The sequence below is a fragment of the Homo sapiens genome, chromosome 3, assembly GCF_000001405.40.
Source record: "Homo sapiens chromosome 3, GRCh38.p14 Primary Assembly".
In the NCBI taxonomy this organism is placed as follows: Eukaryota; Metazoa; Chordata; class Mammalia; order Primates; family Hominidae; genus Homo; species Homo sapiens.
In genome coordinates, this window is record NC_000003.12 from 198,175,575 (window position 1) to 198,188,337 (window position 12,763).

Sequence of the window (12,763 nt, forward strand, 5' to 3'; positions counted from 1 at the left end):
AAAATAAGGAGGAGGAGCAGAAATAGATGAGGCTGGATATAGAAGCAGGGCTGAAGCTGTGTCAATTGTGGTAAAGAGTTGTGATTCTATCCAGAACGCAATAGGTAGCATTCTAAACAGAGATCTTTTAAAACAAGAGTCAGCAAGTATTTTCTGCAAGGGGCTAAATGTTAAATATTTTAAGTTTTCCAAGCCATATGGTCTCTCTCTCAATGACTCAGCTCTTCCATTATACCATGAAAGTAGCCAGAGACATTATGTAACACATGTATTGGCTGTGTCCCATTACAACTTTACTTACAAACGCAGACTGTGTCAGACATGGTCCATGCATGGTAGTTTGCCACACTCTGTTTTAGAAAGCTCAGGTTTATGATGTGATGGAGAATGCCCACAAGAGCTCTTGTTTTAAACGGTAGAGTGAACATACACTGGAATTCTATCCTGCTTGACACAAGCTCTTGATAGCGAAAGGTAGAAAAGATAGATGGTAAATGGATAGATAGATGATAGATAAAGAAAATACATAGCTGTTCCAGAAAACAGAAATGGATAACTTCATGAACCAAAAGCAGAGTAATATACTTTAGAAAGGAAGCAGGCCGGAAAACCCACAGTTGCAAAACAAATAGAATTTCCAACTGCCTCTTGTAGCCCCTTCCTGGAAGTAGTCACAGCCCGGGGTGTTCAACTTCTTCCTCTGTTTTTTGTTTGTTTGTTGTTTGCTTTTCTGTGGGGTTTTTGTTGTTGTTGTTTGCTTTTAAAAAAAAAATTCCCTTTCCCTGCTTTTTTGTCACAGCAGCCTTTGTCACTTCAAACACCGCAAGTGTTCTTTTAAAAAAATTATATCAACCTTTCAATTCAAATGCAACATGTCTGAAACTTGGTATCTGGAGAGGTGAGTTGGACAAAGGAGCCCTTGTTACTGCACGTTTTCATTCTTCAAATTTCACCTTGCACGCAGTAACAGACAGTGCACAAAGCCACTTCCTTATGGACGGAAATTCTGAAATCCTTTTATGCCTGGCCTTTCCATCCTTCAACTTCCCCTCTCCCACGCTGTGAATGATTGTATTGGACATTTTTGTTTTAATGTCAGTGACAGGGGAACACAGGTAGCTCTAATATAGCTGTGACCCAGATGCTTCTGTTTCTAGCATGTATTTATTTTGTAGCAAACATTTACATCCATGATGTTTCACTGTCTTTTGAAAATAATTAGGCAATATCTCATCTGAGGTAGGATGTTTCTAGGGGTTGTGTTCTGAGGGAGGAAAACTAATCTGTTCTCTTTCCACTGCATTCTAGGAACAGTAAGAGGACCTTGTGCATGAATAATTTGTTTCCACACTACAGAGTGGGTAATAAGCAGATTAGTAAAAACAATTCTGCTTCACTTCAATAACAGCCTCCTCCAACTCATTTTTTCTCAACAAACTTATTTTTCCAGCAGAAGAATCCCAGACTTCTTAGAGAACCCAGTGACTTTTTGCAACTTAAATCTGTGAAATCCTTATGTTTTCTTCTGCCGTATCCATAGTTCAAACAAAGATGAGGCAAAGCTAGACGCATTCCTGAAGGAACCCAAGAAATTCCTCTCTTTCTTTCTCTGGAATGAAATGAATTCTCTAGACCACCAGTTCTAACCTTCAAAAACCAAACCTGTTTGTGAGATCTCCTTCAAATACTACTGTAGACCCCAGTGTTTATTCATTAAATTTTTTAAATATTTGTTTTATTTGGAATCCATGTATTTGTAATTTTAGTGTTTGTATTAATATCAGGGAGAAATGTTTAAATCTGTCTTATGCCATATGTGCCTCTGGCTTATTGCCCAATTAATTGTAGTCTCAGGCTAAACTTTGGTTTCTGTCTTTAATTTTTGTCAGAAGAAATATAACTGATCTCAAAACATCTGCTTTTATTGTAGGGGCTTGTGCTGCCGTCTCCATTCTTCTCTCTTTTCTTGCAATCTGGGTGGAAGTTCTTTAATATGAACATTTCAACCACCTTCATTCTACCATGTCCACTATCAGCACATTCAAACTGATCCAGCCAAGGCTGTCATCTTAGGCCAGGGATTTTTTAGGAATCTATTTTGCTGTGATGCGGCTGGCACCCCTTTGACTCACTGTATCACCCCAGGGTTCTTTTCATTTCAGAAGCCCAAGAGGGCAGAAAAAGAAGTAGGTGAGCAATTAAACACTCTGAGTCAGGAGCGTCTCCCCTTGCGTTAAGCAATGTTGTAGAACATCGATGTTCTACATCGATGTTGGCGACCTTGGTACCATTTTGTCCACTTGATTGGAAAAGCCAGTCAATAATTTCAGGTCACTGTTGGCCTTAGAAGAAGAGCCCAAAGGCAACAAGCAAAGGCGCTGGTGTCCAGTCGCCTTCTAGAAGCATTTTCACTTTCCCTTAAGGTTTCCCTTGATGAACATAGAAGTACTGTATGTAGAATTGACCCAGTGCTGCCCTGGCAACTTTGTATATTAGGCCAAATTTACATTTCTTACCTTTATGAGAGGCACCCTGGTAGGCTAGTGGAGTTACACACAAAGTCTGATCTCAGCTGCACTGTCCAGAAATGCAACACGGTCCAATCAAATAACATTCTCTGAGCCTGTTTCTTTAGCTGTGAAAGAAGAATAACATACCCATCTAAAAAGGCAGCTTATTGTATTTGATTGGTCTTTTATTTTCTATGAAACTGTGTTTAACACAGTAATTATTTTCATTTGTGTACTACATTTGTGTTGTGTTTTTGGTTTTAGTTTTGTTTTTGAAATGGAGTCTTTTTTTTAGTGGTTTTTTGTTTTGTTTTGTTTTGTTTTGTTTTTGAGATGGAGTCTTTCTATTGTCACCCAGGCTAGAGTGCAGTGGCATGATCTCCGCTCACTGCAACCTCCACCTCCCAGGTTCAAGTGGTTCTCCTGCCTCAGCCTCCTGAGAAGCTGGGATTACAGGTGCCCACCACCATGCCCAGCTAATTTTTAAAATATATTTTTAGTAGAGATGGGGTTACAACATGTTGCCCGGGCTGGTCTCAAACTACTGACGTCAAGTGATCCACCTGCCTTGGCTTCCCAAAGTGCTGGGATTATAGGCATGAGCCACCGCGCCTGGCTTGTTTTAAAATAAGGGTTTCTTGGCTAGGCATGGTGGCTCACACCTGTAATCCCAGCACTTTGGGAGGCCAAGGTCAGTGGATCACCTGAGGTCAGGAGTTCGAGACCAGCCTGACCAATATGGAGAAACCCTGTCTCAACTGAAAATACAAAATTAGCCAGGCGTGGTGGTGCATGCCTGTAATCCCAGCTACTCAGGAGGCTGAGGAAGGAGAATTGCTTGAACCCAGGGGGCAGAGATTGCAGTGAGCTGAGATCGCACCATTGCACTCCAGCCTGGGCAACGAGCAAAACTCTGTCTCAAAATAAAAAAAAGATTTCTTAAAATGATATTTTCAGTATTTTATAGATGATGTGTAAGCAGCAAGCTTAATAGGATGTTACCCGACACTTTGCGAGACTGGCAGCTGATTTGATCCAGATGTCTCTAATTCTTTTTTCTTTTTCTTTTTCTGTTTTTTTTTTTTTGACAGAGCCTTGCTCCGTCCCCCATGCTGGAGTGCAGTGGCACGATCTCGGCTCACTGCAACCTCCACCTCCTGGGTTCAAGCGATTCTCCTGCCTCAGGCTCCCGAGTAGCTGGGATTACAGGCGCGCGCCACCATGCCCAGCTAATTTTTTGTATTTTTGGTAGAGACAGCATTTCACCATGTTGGCCAGGCTGGTCTCGAACTCCTGACCTTAGGTGATCTGCCTGCCTCGGCTTCCCAAAGTGTTAGGATTACAGGCGTCAGCCACTGTGCCTGGCCCAGATGTCTCTAATTCTAACATGAGATGTATTGCAGGATCATAGCAGAGTGAGTTGCTGATGTATCCAGAAGGAAACGAGCATGGAACACTCACGACAGCTGTCCTGAGAAGTGTGTGTGTGCTGTGCTTGAATATCTCACTGCTCATTTATACACAGGCTTTCTGGTGACTGAGTTAACAGTATCTGTTTCATAAATAATGTAGCCCTCTTTCTTTCTTTCTCTCTCTCTCTTTTTTTTTTTTTTTTTTTTTTTTTTTTTTTGAGACAGGGTCTTGCTCTACTACCCAGGCTGGAGTGCAATGGTGCAGTCTCAGCTCACCGCAACTTCACCATGCCTGGCTAATTTTTTCTTTTTTTTTTTTTTGAGACGGAGTTTCGCTGTTTTTGCCCAGGCTGGAGTGCAATGGCACAATCTCGGCTCACCACAATCTTTGCCTTTTGGGTTCAAGGGATTCTCCTGCCTCAGCCTCCCGAGTAGCTGGGATTACAGGCATGTGCCACCACACCCGGCTAATGTTGTAGTTTTAGTAGAGACGGGGTTTCCCTATGTTGGTTAGGCTGGTCTCAAACTCCTGACCTCAGGTGATCTACCCGCCTCGGCCTCTCAAAGTGCTGGGATCACAGGCATGAGCCATCACTCCTGGCCTAATTTTTGTATTTTTAGTAGAGAGAGGGTTTCACTCTGTTGGCCAGGCTGGTCTCGAATTCCTGACCTCAAGTTATCTGCCTGCCTCGGCCTCCCAAACTGTTGGAATTACAGGCGTGAACCACCATGCCTGGCCAGCTCTATTTCTTTAAGCCTACATGTTTTGCACTTGTTAAAAGTATTTGAACATACAATTACTCAGCTTCCCTTGTTTACGCGTGAATTTTGTAGAATCTTAAATATTTTTTCCAATCTAAGCTTTATTTTATCCCGTTTCTTCTATATTTGTATAACTTTAGGTGGCTATCTTCATTGAAAGTTTTTTCTCAAAAGCCTTAAGATAGAACATAGTTCTTGGCAGCAATTTGAAAGTTATTTGAGGAGAAGGGGAGACTTACAATGATGATTCAAATGAAGGAAACTAAAAAGTAATGAAGCAAGGCAGAGGAAAAAGCAGTACTCACTTGAGCACATCCCAAAAGAATAACATTTCAAATGTAACTAGAAAAAAGTATGCTGAAGTTCGCAATACAGAAATAATTATTAATAAGATAGCTTTAAAGCCCTGCTCAGCTTTTGAATGTTGGGAATTGACCCAGAGGTGGCTGTAACCTAAGATGGTTCCTTCAGTAATGACCATTTTTTCTTTTTCAAGATGATGATTATTCCCCACCTTCTAAGAGACAAAGACCAACGAGCCACCACAGCCACCAGTCCCAGAACCCGCCAATGCTGGGGAACGGAAAATGAGGGAGTTCAACTCTGGTAAGTTCTCAGCGAAATCCATGACCTTTTCCTTTATCTTCTGGACTCTCAGTGTGACTGATGAAAGTTACCACATGCTCTGCAGGGGGAAATGGTTTAGCATGTGTTACTACATCTTAATCACATCTTTGTAAAGCCAGGAGCATTTTACAAGTCACGTTACAGACATTGTTTAAACATAGTCTGTATTTACCAAAGTATAGGACATTGTATCATCTCATATTAATTAGTTAGTTGGCTCAAAATTAGTGCTAATGACTTAGTAATTCAGTGATTTCTGTTAGCTTTAAAACCTTTATTTCAGAACTATTTCACCTCTTGGTTTTCATTTTTGTGGTGTGTCACTGCCTGCCGGCTGCTAATTGATTAACTCCCAGTGAATCATGTCCTGTGAAGGGACTGAATATTAGTGGCAATTTATGTTGATGATTTGTATTTTGAATAAATAGTTTGAATACATAGAACATTAAGCTTGTATACATTTTGAAAATAGTATTTTAATATTCTACTGTGTCATAGTTACAATGATTGGATATATGTTGAATTTATATGTACTTTAAGTTGTTCTATGTTTATGGTCTTTAGCATTCTAACGTGCAATTGTATATCTGTTAAGTCTTTTTTTTTTCGAGATTAGACTGATTTATTGAGGCGTCTGTTTGATGCCACATTAAGTGGCCCAGGCTTTGTGTAGGGTTGAGGTTAAAGCAGGAAGAAGGGTGGTGAGAGGCGGGGCACCAGGGTTAGGTTGGAATACCTGGGGGTGCTCTGAGGCTCCCCAAGTTTCCCTGGTCTTGGCCGGCTGTGCTGCTGGCCTGGGCATCTGATGGGCCTGCAAGGGTGGTCCAGGGGCTAGGGCAGGGACTTTGGAGTGACGCCATTGGCTTTGAATCCAGACTCCTACACTTGGTAGCTGTGAACTCTCCATGCCTCAGGGACCTGCAGAACTGAGCTCTGTCTGAGCCAGGTTCCATCCAGGCACTGCGCATCCATCCAGAGGGGCACTGCCTCAGGCTGCTCGCTGTTCACTGCCTTCTCAAGCTGACCCTTGTCTGCTTCTAGGCCCTCACAATCCAGTGGAGGAGACGAAACTCATCTGCCTCTGTCCCTCTGGGCACGCCTCATGCCAGGTGCATCTGTGGACAGGGGCCATGCTCCTGGGCTTCCAAAGTTGGAGAAAGCTGCCAGGCTCAGGTGGGTACATCACAGCAGCTGCTGCCCTCTGAACACAGTGACAAAAGAACACTCTGGGCCTGGAGCCCTGGTCTGGGGCATTGGGCAAGGCTGTTGCACTTCTCTGATCCCATTTCCCCATCTGGAAAGTGCGCTGATTGTATCTCCCTGTGGGCACTGAGGGCTCAGTGTTAGTTTGAGAGCCAGCATCTGGGGTTTGGGCTGTAATTCCCCGTCAGCCCCATAGCTGCGGGGAACCAGGGACTTTGTTGGGATTACCCTAGGCATCAGTTTAGCTTCCTGCCCCTGGCTTGGGCTCAGCACCTGAAGTAGTCTAGGGGGTAGGTGGTGCTGGTGGGGGCTGGGGCTTTTACCCAGACTGAGGTCACACCCAGAGCCAGAAGTCTTGGTGCCTGCTCTGGGCAAAGGTGCCAGCCTGTGTGACAAGAGCGAAACTCCGTCTCCAAAACAAAAACAAAAAACCTTGCATCATTTCAAGGGGCTCACACCTCCCTAAGGGCCTGGTAATTGGCTGGCTCTGGCCTGCATCTGGCCCTGAGGGTGTAGGTAACACCCCACCTTACCTGGTTTCTTCCTGCCAGGGCCAATCTTCAGACCTCAGGACTTTACAGCCTATCCCACCTCCCCTCTGGCCAGCCTTGAGCCCTTGTGGGTCCAGCACTTTTTCCAGGCTGTCTCCTGGTTGTCCTTCTGCCTCGAGGCCTGGCTCATGCTGCTCCCCCTCCCACTCTCCAAGACCCACAAGGACCACTCCACACCCAGCTCAGCCCCATCCCCTCAGATAGTCCTTTCTCTTTCCTCAGGTGGCCAGGTGCATGTCTTGGTGTGAGGACCTTCGCTGTATCTGGGAATGCCTACTGGTTACCTTGGTAACAGAGAACAAGGCATTTACCTGATATGAGTGTCGTGGTTCACTGTCTACATGGCTAGGGAGGGAATCAATAATAGGCTTTTCACTTGCTGCAAGGGCCGGTTCTCCTGGCCCCATGGCTCTAGGGATGGAGGACGCTGCAGGAGATGCAGCGCTCACTTCCTAGCTGAGGACTGTGGGTCATCTCAGGGCGATTTCACAGTCCCCACATGCCCCACCCCCTCAGCTCTGCAAATACCAAGCAGTGCAGCCTGCCTAGGGGATGATGGGCTCGAGAGTGCCCAGGTAGTGCCCAGAGTGCCCTTGGCAGGCCCCTCACCTGGCTGCTTCCACAGCTCTGTAGCAAGAGTTCTAACCTTTTTTCACCGTGAAGCCTGCTGAGAATAAGAGCTGTGGACTGTTTTCCCAGAAAGGCATGTACATGCTCTCCACACAAAACCTTTCATCGTGGCCAAGCACAGTGGCTGATGTGATCCCAGAACTTTGGGAGGCGGAGCCAGTCGGATCACCTGAGGTCAGGAGTTCAAGACCAGCCTGCCCAACATGGCGAAACCCTGTCTCTACTAAAAATACAAAAAATTAGCCAGGCGTGGTGGCAGCCACCTGTAATCCCAGCTACTCCAGAGGCTGAGGCAGGAGAATCACTTGAACCTGGGAGGCGCAGGTTGTAGTGTGGTGAGATCACACCACTGCACTCCAGCCTGGGCGACAGGAGCGAAACTCTGTCTCAAAAAACAAAACAAAACAAAACCTTGCATCCTTTCAGGGGGCTCACACCTCCCTAAGGGCCCAGTAATTAAACCCTTTGGGCCTGAGGGTGAGAAACTTTGTCTCAGTTCTTCCCCAAGTGATCAGCCCAGGGGTAAGGAAGGAGAAGCCAGAAAGCAGGACCCATGAGAAGGGCCCCCTCCTGGAGTTTGAGGCCCACTCCCTCCTGCCCCTGCCTCTCCTCTGTGCAGGACTCCTCCCTGCTCTGCCCCACTCCTGGGGCCATAACCATGGGGAGCTGTGGTTTTCTACAGGCCCCTGGGCACAAAGTGGGCAGGCTCACCTGGAGGCGATCAGAGTAACATGGCAGGAAGTGAGGGGGAAAGCCGCCCTGGAACTGCGCCTCTCTGCCCCCTGACGTCACTGGCGTGCACTCCTCCCTCCCCTCAGGCAGTGGCATGAGTTCCATGTGAGCGCTGTCCTGCTCCCTCTGCTGCCTCTTTTTTTTCTTGGGGCTGCCATAACACTTTCCCTTCCCCAGCCCTGCCAACCTGGTGGGACATTGGGCTTCCCTCTCACAGGGTCCTGGGGACAGGCCCATCCTTTATCATACCCACAGAGAGACCGTTTTTTTCTTCAGAACCTGGGGAGCAGCCAGGTTCCATGAGTTAAATGCAGATCTGAACCAAGCTGGGATTGGGGTACACACTCTCCTCTACTGAAAAGTAGCTAGGGATTCCAACTAGGTGAGAAGGAGAGTGGGGCAGAGCCAGACCAGACAAGGACTGATCACCTGGAAAAAGCCTGCCATCAAAGGTCTTGGCAAATGCTGGGTGCAGTGGCTCACTCCTGTAATACCAGCACTTTGCGGGGCTGAGACAGGTGGACTACTTGAGGCAAGGAGTTCGAGTCCAGCCTGGGCAACATGGCAAAACCGCATCTCTACTAGAAATACAAAAATTAGCTAGGCATGCTACACTCCTGTCATCCCAGCTACTCAGGAGACTGAGGCAGGAGAATCACTTGAACTGGGGAGGCAGAGGTCGAAGTGAGCCGAGATTGTGCCCCTGCACTCCAGTCTGGGAGACAGAGTGAAACTGGCCTCAAAAAAAAAAAGAATATGGCCTTGGCAGAGAGGGGCCAGCCCAGTAGTGCCTTCCCTTGGGTTTCTCCTGGGTAGGCCTCTGCCATGAGGAGGTGCTTCCTTCTGCCTGTCCATGGCCCACAGCAATGGAATGTCTGTTTCTGGGGGTTGGGTGGGAGAGTGCTGGCAGAACTGGAAACCTTCAGGTGGGGTTTTTTTGTTTTGTTTTGTTTTCGAGATGGAGCGTCGCTCTGTCACCCAGGCTGGAGTGCAGTGGTGGAATCTCAGTTCACTGCAACCTCTGCCCCCCTGGGTTCAAACAATTCTCCTGTCTCAGCCTCCTGAGTAGCTGAGATTACAGGCATGTGCCACCATGCCCGGCTAGTTTTTGTATTTTTTGTATAGATGGCATTTCACCATGTTGGCTGGGCTGGTCTCGAACTCCTGACCTCAAGTGATCCACCCATGTCGGCCTCCCAAAGTGCTGGGATTACAGGCATGAGCCACTGAGCCCAGCCCCTTCAGGGGGGTTTTGAGGCTTCACTACAATACTAGTTTCCTGTGGCTGCTGCAACAAATTACCACACACTTAGTGACTTAAAACAACCAAAATGTATTCCCTTACAGGTCTGAAGGCCAGAATTCTACAGTAAGTCCTACTGAGTCAAGGTGGGAGCAGGGTCGGTAGCTTCCGAGGCTCTGCGGGAGAATCCGTTTCCTGGCCGTAGAGGTGGCCTGCACTCCTCAGCTTGTGCTGCCCGTCTCGAATGACTGGAGTTTCCTGCTTCTGTCACTACACCTCCCACCCTCTCCATCACCTGCTCTGCTCTTACAAGGATCCGAGTGAGTACATCAACCCCAAAAGCCAAAGACCCTTAACTTCATTATATCTGCAAAGCTCCTTTTGCCATATAAGGTCATGTTCACCAGTTCCCGGGATTAGGATATGGGCATCTTGGGGGCATCAGCCTGCTACAGCTAGGCTGCAAAACTGTTACACCCTCCTGGTGTTTCAATGATTGGGAGAAAAAGGGTTGGCATTTTTTGCTTGGGGGTCCCTCTTAAACTTGTATCTGTAAGGTCGGGGGTCCCTCTTAACCTTGTGTTTTTGTTTTTGTTTTTTTTTGAGGTGGAGTCTTGCTCTGTCATCCAGGCTGGCAGTGGCGTGATCTTGGCTCACTGCAATGTCTGCCTCCTGGGTTCAGGTGATTCTCCTGCCTCAGCCTCCTGAGTAGCTGGGACTACAGGCGCCCGCCACCATGCCCTGCTGTTTTGTATTTTTGGTAGGGACGGGGTGGGGGTGGGGCTAGGGAGGGGGGTTTTGGCTATGTTGCCCTGAGCTCAAAGTGATCCGCCTGCCTCTGCTGCCAAAGTGCTGGGATTACAGGCCTGCACCACTGCACCCGGCTGCTGTAAAGTCTTATTTCACACAGCTGAGACATGTTTTAGGAAGTTTGCTAAAAGACCCCTGGAGACCGCCTCATTGTGACCTCCCTGTTATTGTGTTTAATTTGATTGAACTTTTCTGCCCTCCTGCTTTTCAGCTTCTCTAATAGTCTCCCATTAAACCAATTCTAAGAACCACCAAGAAGGGGAAATTTTTTCTTGAAAGCAGTAAAATGATATGGACTGTTAGAATGTAAAATATATGAAATCAGTCATTATACGTTAGTGCTGCTCTGACATAGGGACGTGTTATTGAGAAGCAACTTTTGCTTGGTTTTCAGAGAAATGGAATCATCGTATCGCTGATCTACGTAAACAAACTGAAGAATTGTCTGAAAGAAAATATGGTATGTCTAAACTGGAAAAGTCTTGTAATCTTATGTTCATGGGCGTTTACACAGTGGAGTTACTGTTCATCATGGGGGTACCGTGGACAAGCCCAGGGCTGCCGGCGAGTCATGCCATCCTTACATGTTTCTCCTTGTAAGGTGCTTTGTAGTGTCTACACACTTTGTTTCTAGATTGCTGCAAAGCTGAGGAAAAGTTGTATTTCTTTAGTTATTAGTTAGCATTTCTTTTAAACTTTCAGTATGGAGATTGGAAATTTATTTACATATTTATTGCAAAGCCCTGGATCTTAGGAATTTCATTGAATTATTTATTTATTTTTTTTGAGACGGAGCCTCACTCTGTCACCCAGGCTGGAGTGCAGTGGCACGATCTCGGCTCACTGCAACCTCCGCCTCCCGGGTTCAAGCAGTTCTCTGCCTCAGCCTCCCGAGCAGCTAGGATTACAGGCACCAGCCACCACGCCTGGCTGATTTTTGTATTTTTAGTAGAGACGGGGTTTCATGATCTTGGCTAGGCTGGTCTTGAACTGCTGACCTCCTGATCCACTCACCTCAGCCTCCCAAAGTGCTGGGATTATAGGTGTGAGCCACCATGCCTGGCCAAATATTATTTTTTTAAATGAATTGTTTCTCTTAGTCTGCTTTGTTAAATTTGGAATTCATCTGGGCGCGGTGGCTCACACCTGTAATCCCAGCACTTTGGGAGGCCAAGGCAGGCAGATATCTAGGTCGGGAGTTCGAGACCAGCCTGACCAACATGGAGAAACCCCGTCTCTACTAAAAATACAAAATTAGACGGGTGTGGTGGCGCATGTCTGTAATCCCAGCTATTCGGGAGGCCAAGGCAGGAGAATCGCTTGAACCCAGGAGGCAGAGGTTGCAGTGAGGCGAGGTTGGCACCATTGCACTGTAGCCTGGGCAAAAAGAGCAAAACTCCATCTCAAAATAAATAAATAAATAAAATGTTCAGTACTCACCAAGGTGCCCCTGTTGTCTCTACTTTTATCTTGATGCATCACTGAATTGATGTTAGATTTCAAATTCATCATTGCCCTGATACTATTCTATCCTGAAGCCACCTTTATATAGTGATGAAAGAAATTAGCGATTTGTTATTATCCTCTCTCTGTTGGTATACATCAAATACTCACCTAAAAAAGAGCAACAACCAGTGGAAAACATGATGTTTTTATTTGGGTGACTATTTACTTGTAACCTACTAGCAAACTATAAAATTGTATGATATGCAGAATTTTAACTGAATTGCTTTAAGTGAACATTTAAGCATGATAAACAATATTGATGGTATTTATGTTAATATACTTAAAATGAACATTTTTCTTCATCATGAGTAATATAACCTACTCCTCAATGAAAACCTAGCACTAAATTTGCTAATGAATTCAATAACATTTCCATAATATTTTTAGTTACATGCTTAAGGTTCTCTTAGTGTTTCTCCCACTTTTTAATAGCTTATGCCTTTTTCACCTTTGGTTTTTTTTTGGTTCATTTTAAAGCAAAAATCTCACAACATGTGATATCTGGAAACACTGTAACCTAGTGGTAAGACCATAGGCCCTGGGGACACAGGCTGGCCACGTCTCTTCTCCTGTCTGAGCTTTAGTATCCTCTTTTGTGGTCATGAGAACTGAAGATCTGTCCCGAAGATTTGATAAGATAGTAAAGTGCTTCACATAATACCAGACATATAAATACACAGTAAATGCTTCCTCCTTATATTTTTATTGATTGATTGATGGAGACAGAATCTTGCTCTCTTGCCCAGGCTGGAATGCAGTGGCGTGATAATGGTTTCT

General features: G+C 45.8%; 1 long non-coding RNA gene across 1 annotated transcript in view; it reads left to right on the forward strand.

Annotated features, from left to right (window-relative positions):
* FAM157A (family with sequence similarity 157 member A) overlaps nt 1-12,763 on the forward strand; it is a 69,308-nt gene that overhangs the window by 22,369 nt on the left and 34,176 nt on the right. Inside the window, exons 5-8 of the long non-coding RNA NR_146164.1 lie at nt 5,181-5,290; nt 6,353-6,484; nt 9,775-9,990; nt 10,875-10,940. This is a non-coding gene — a long non-coding RNA (family with sequence similarity 157 member A). The remainder of the gene's footprint in view (nt 1-5,180; nt 5,291-6,352; nt 6,485-9,774; nt 9,991-10,874; nt 10,941-12,763) is intronic.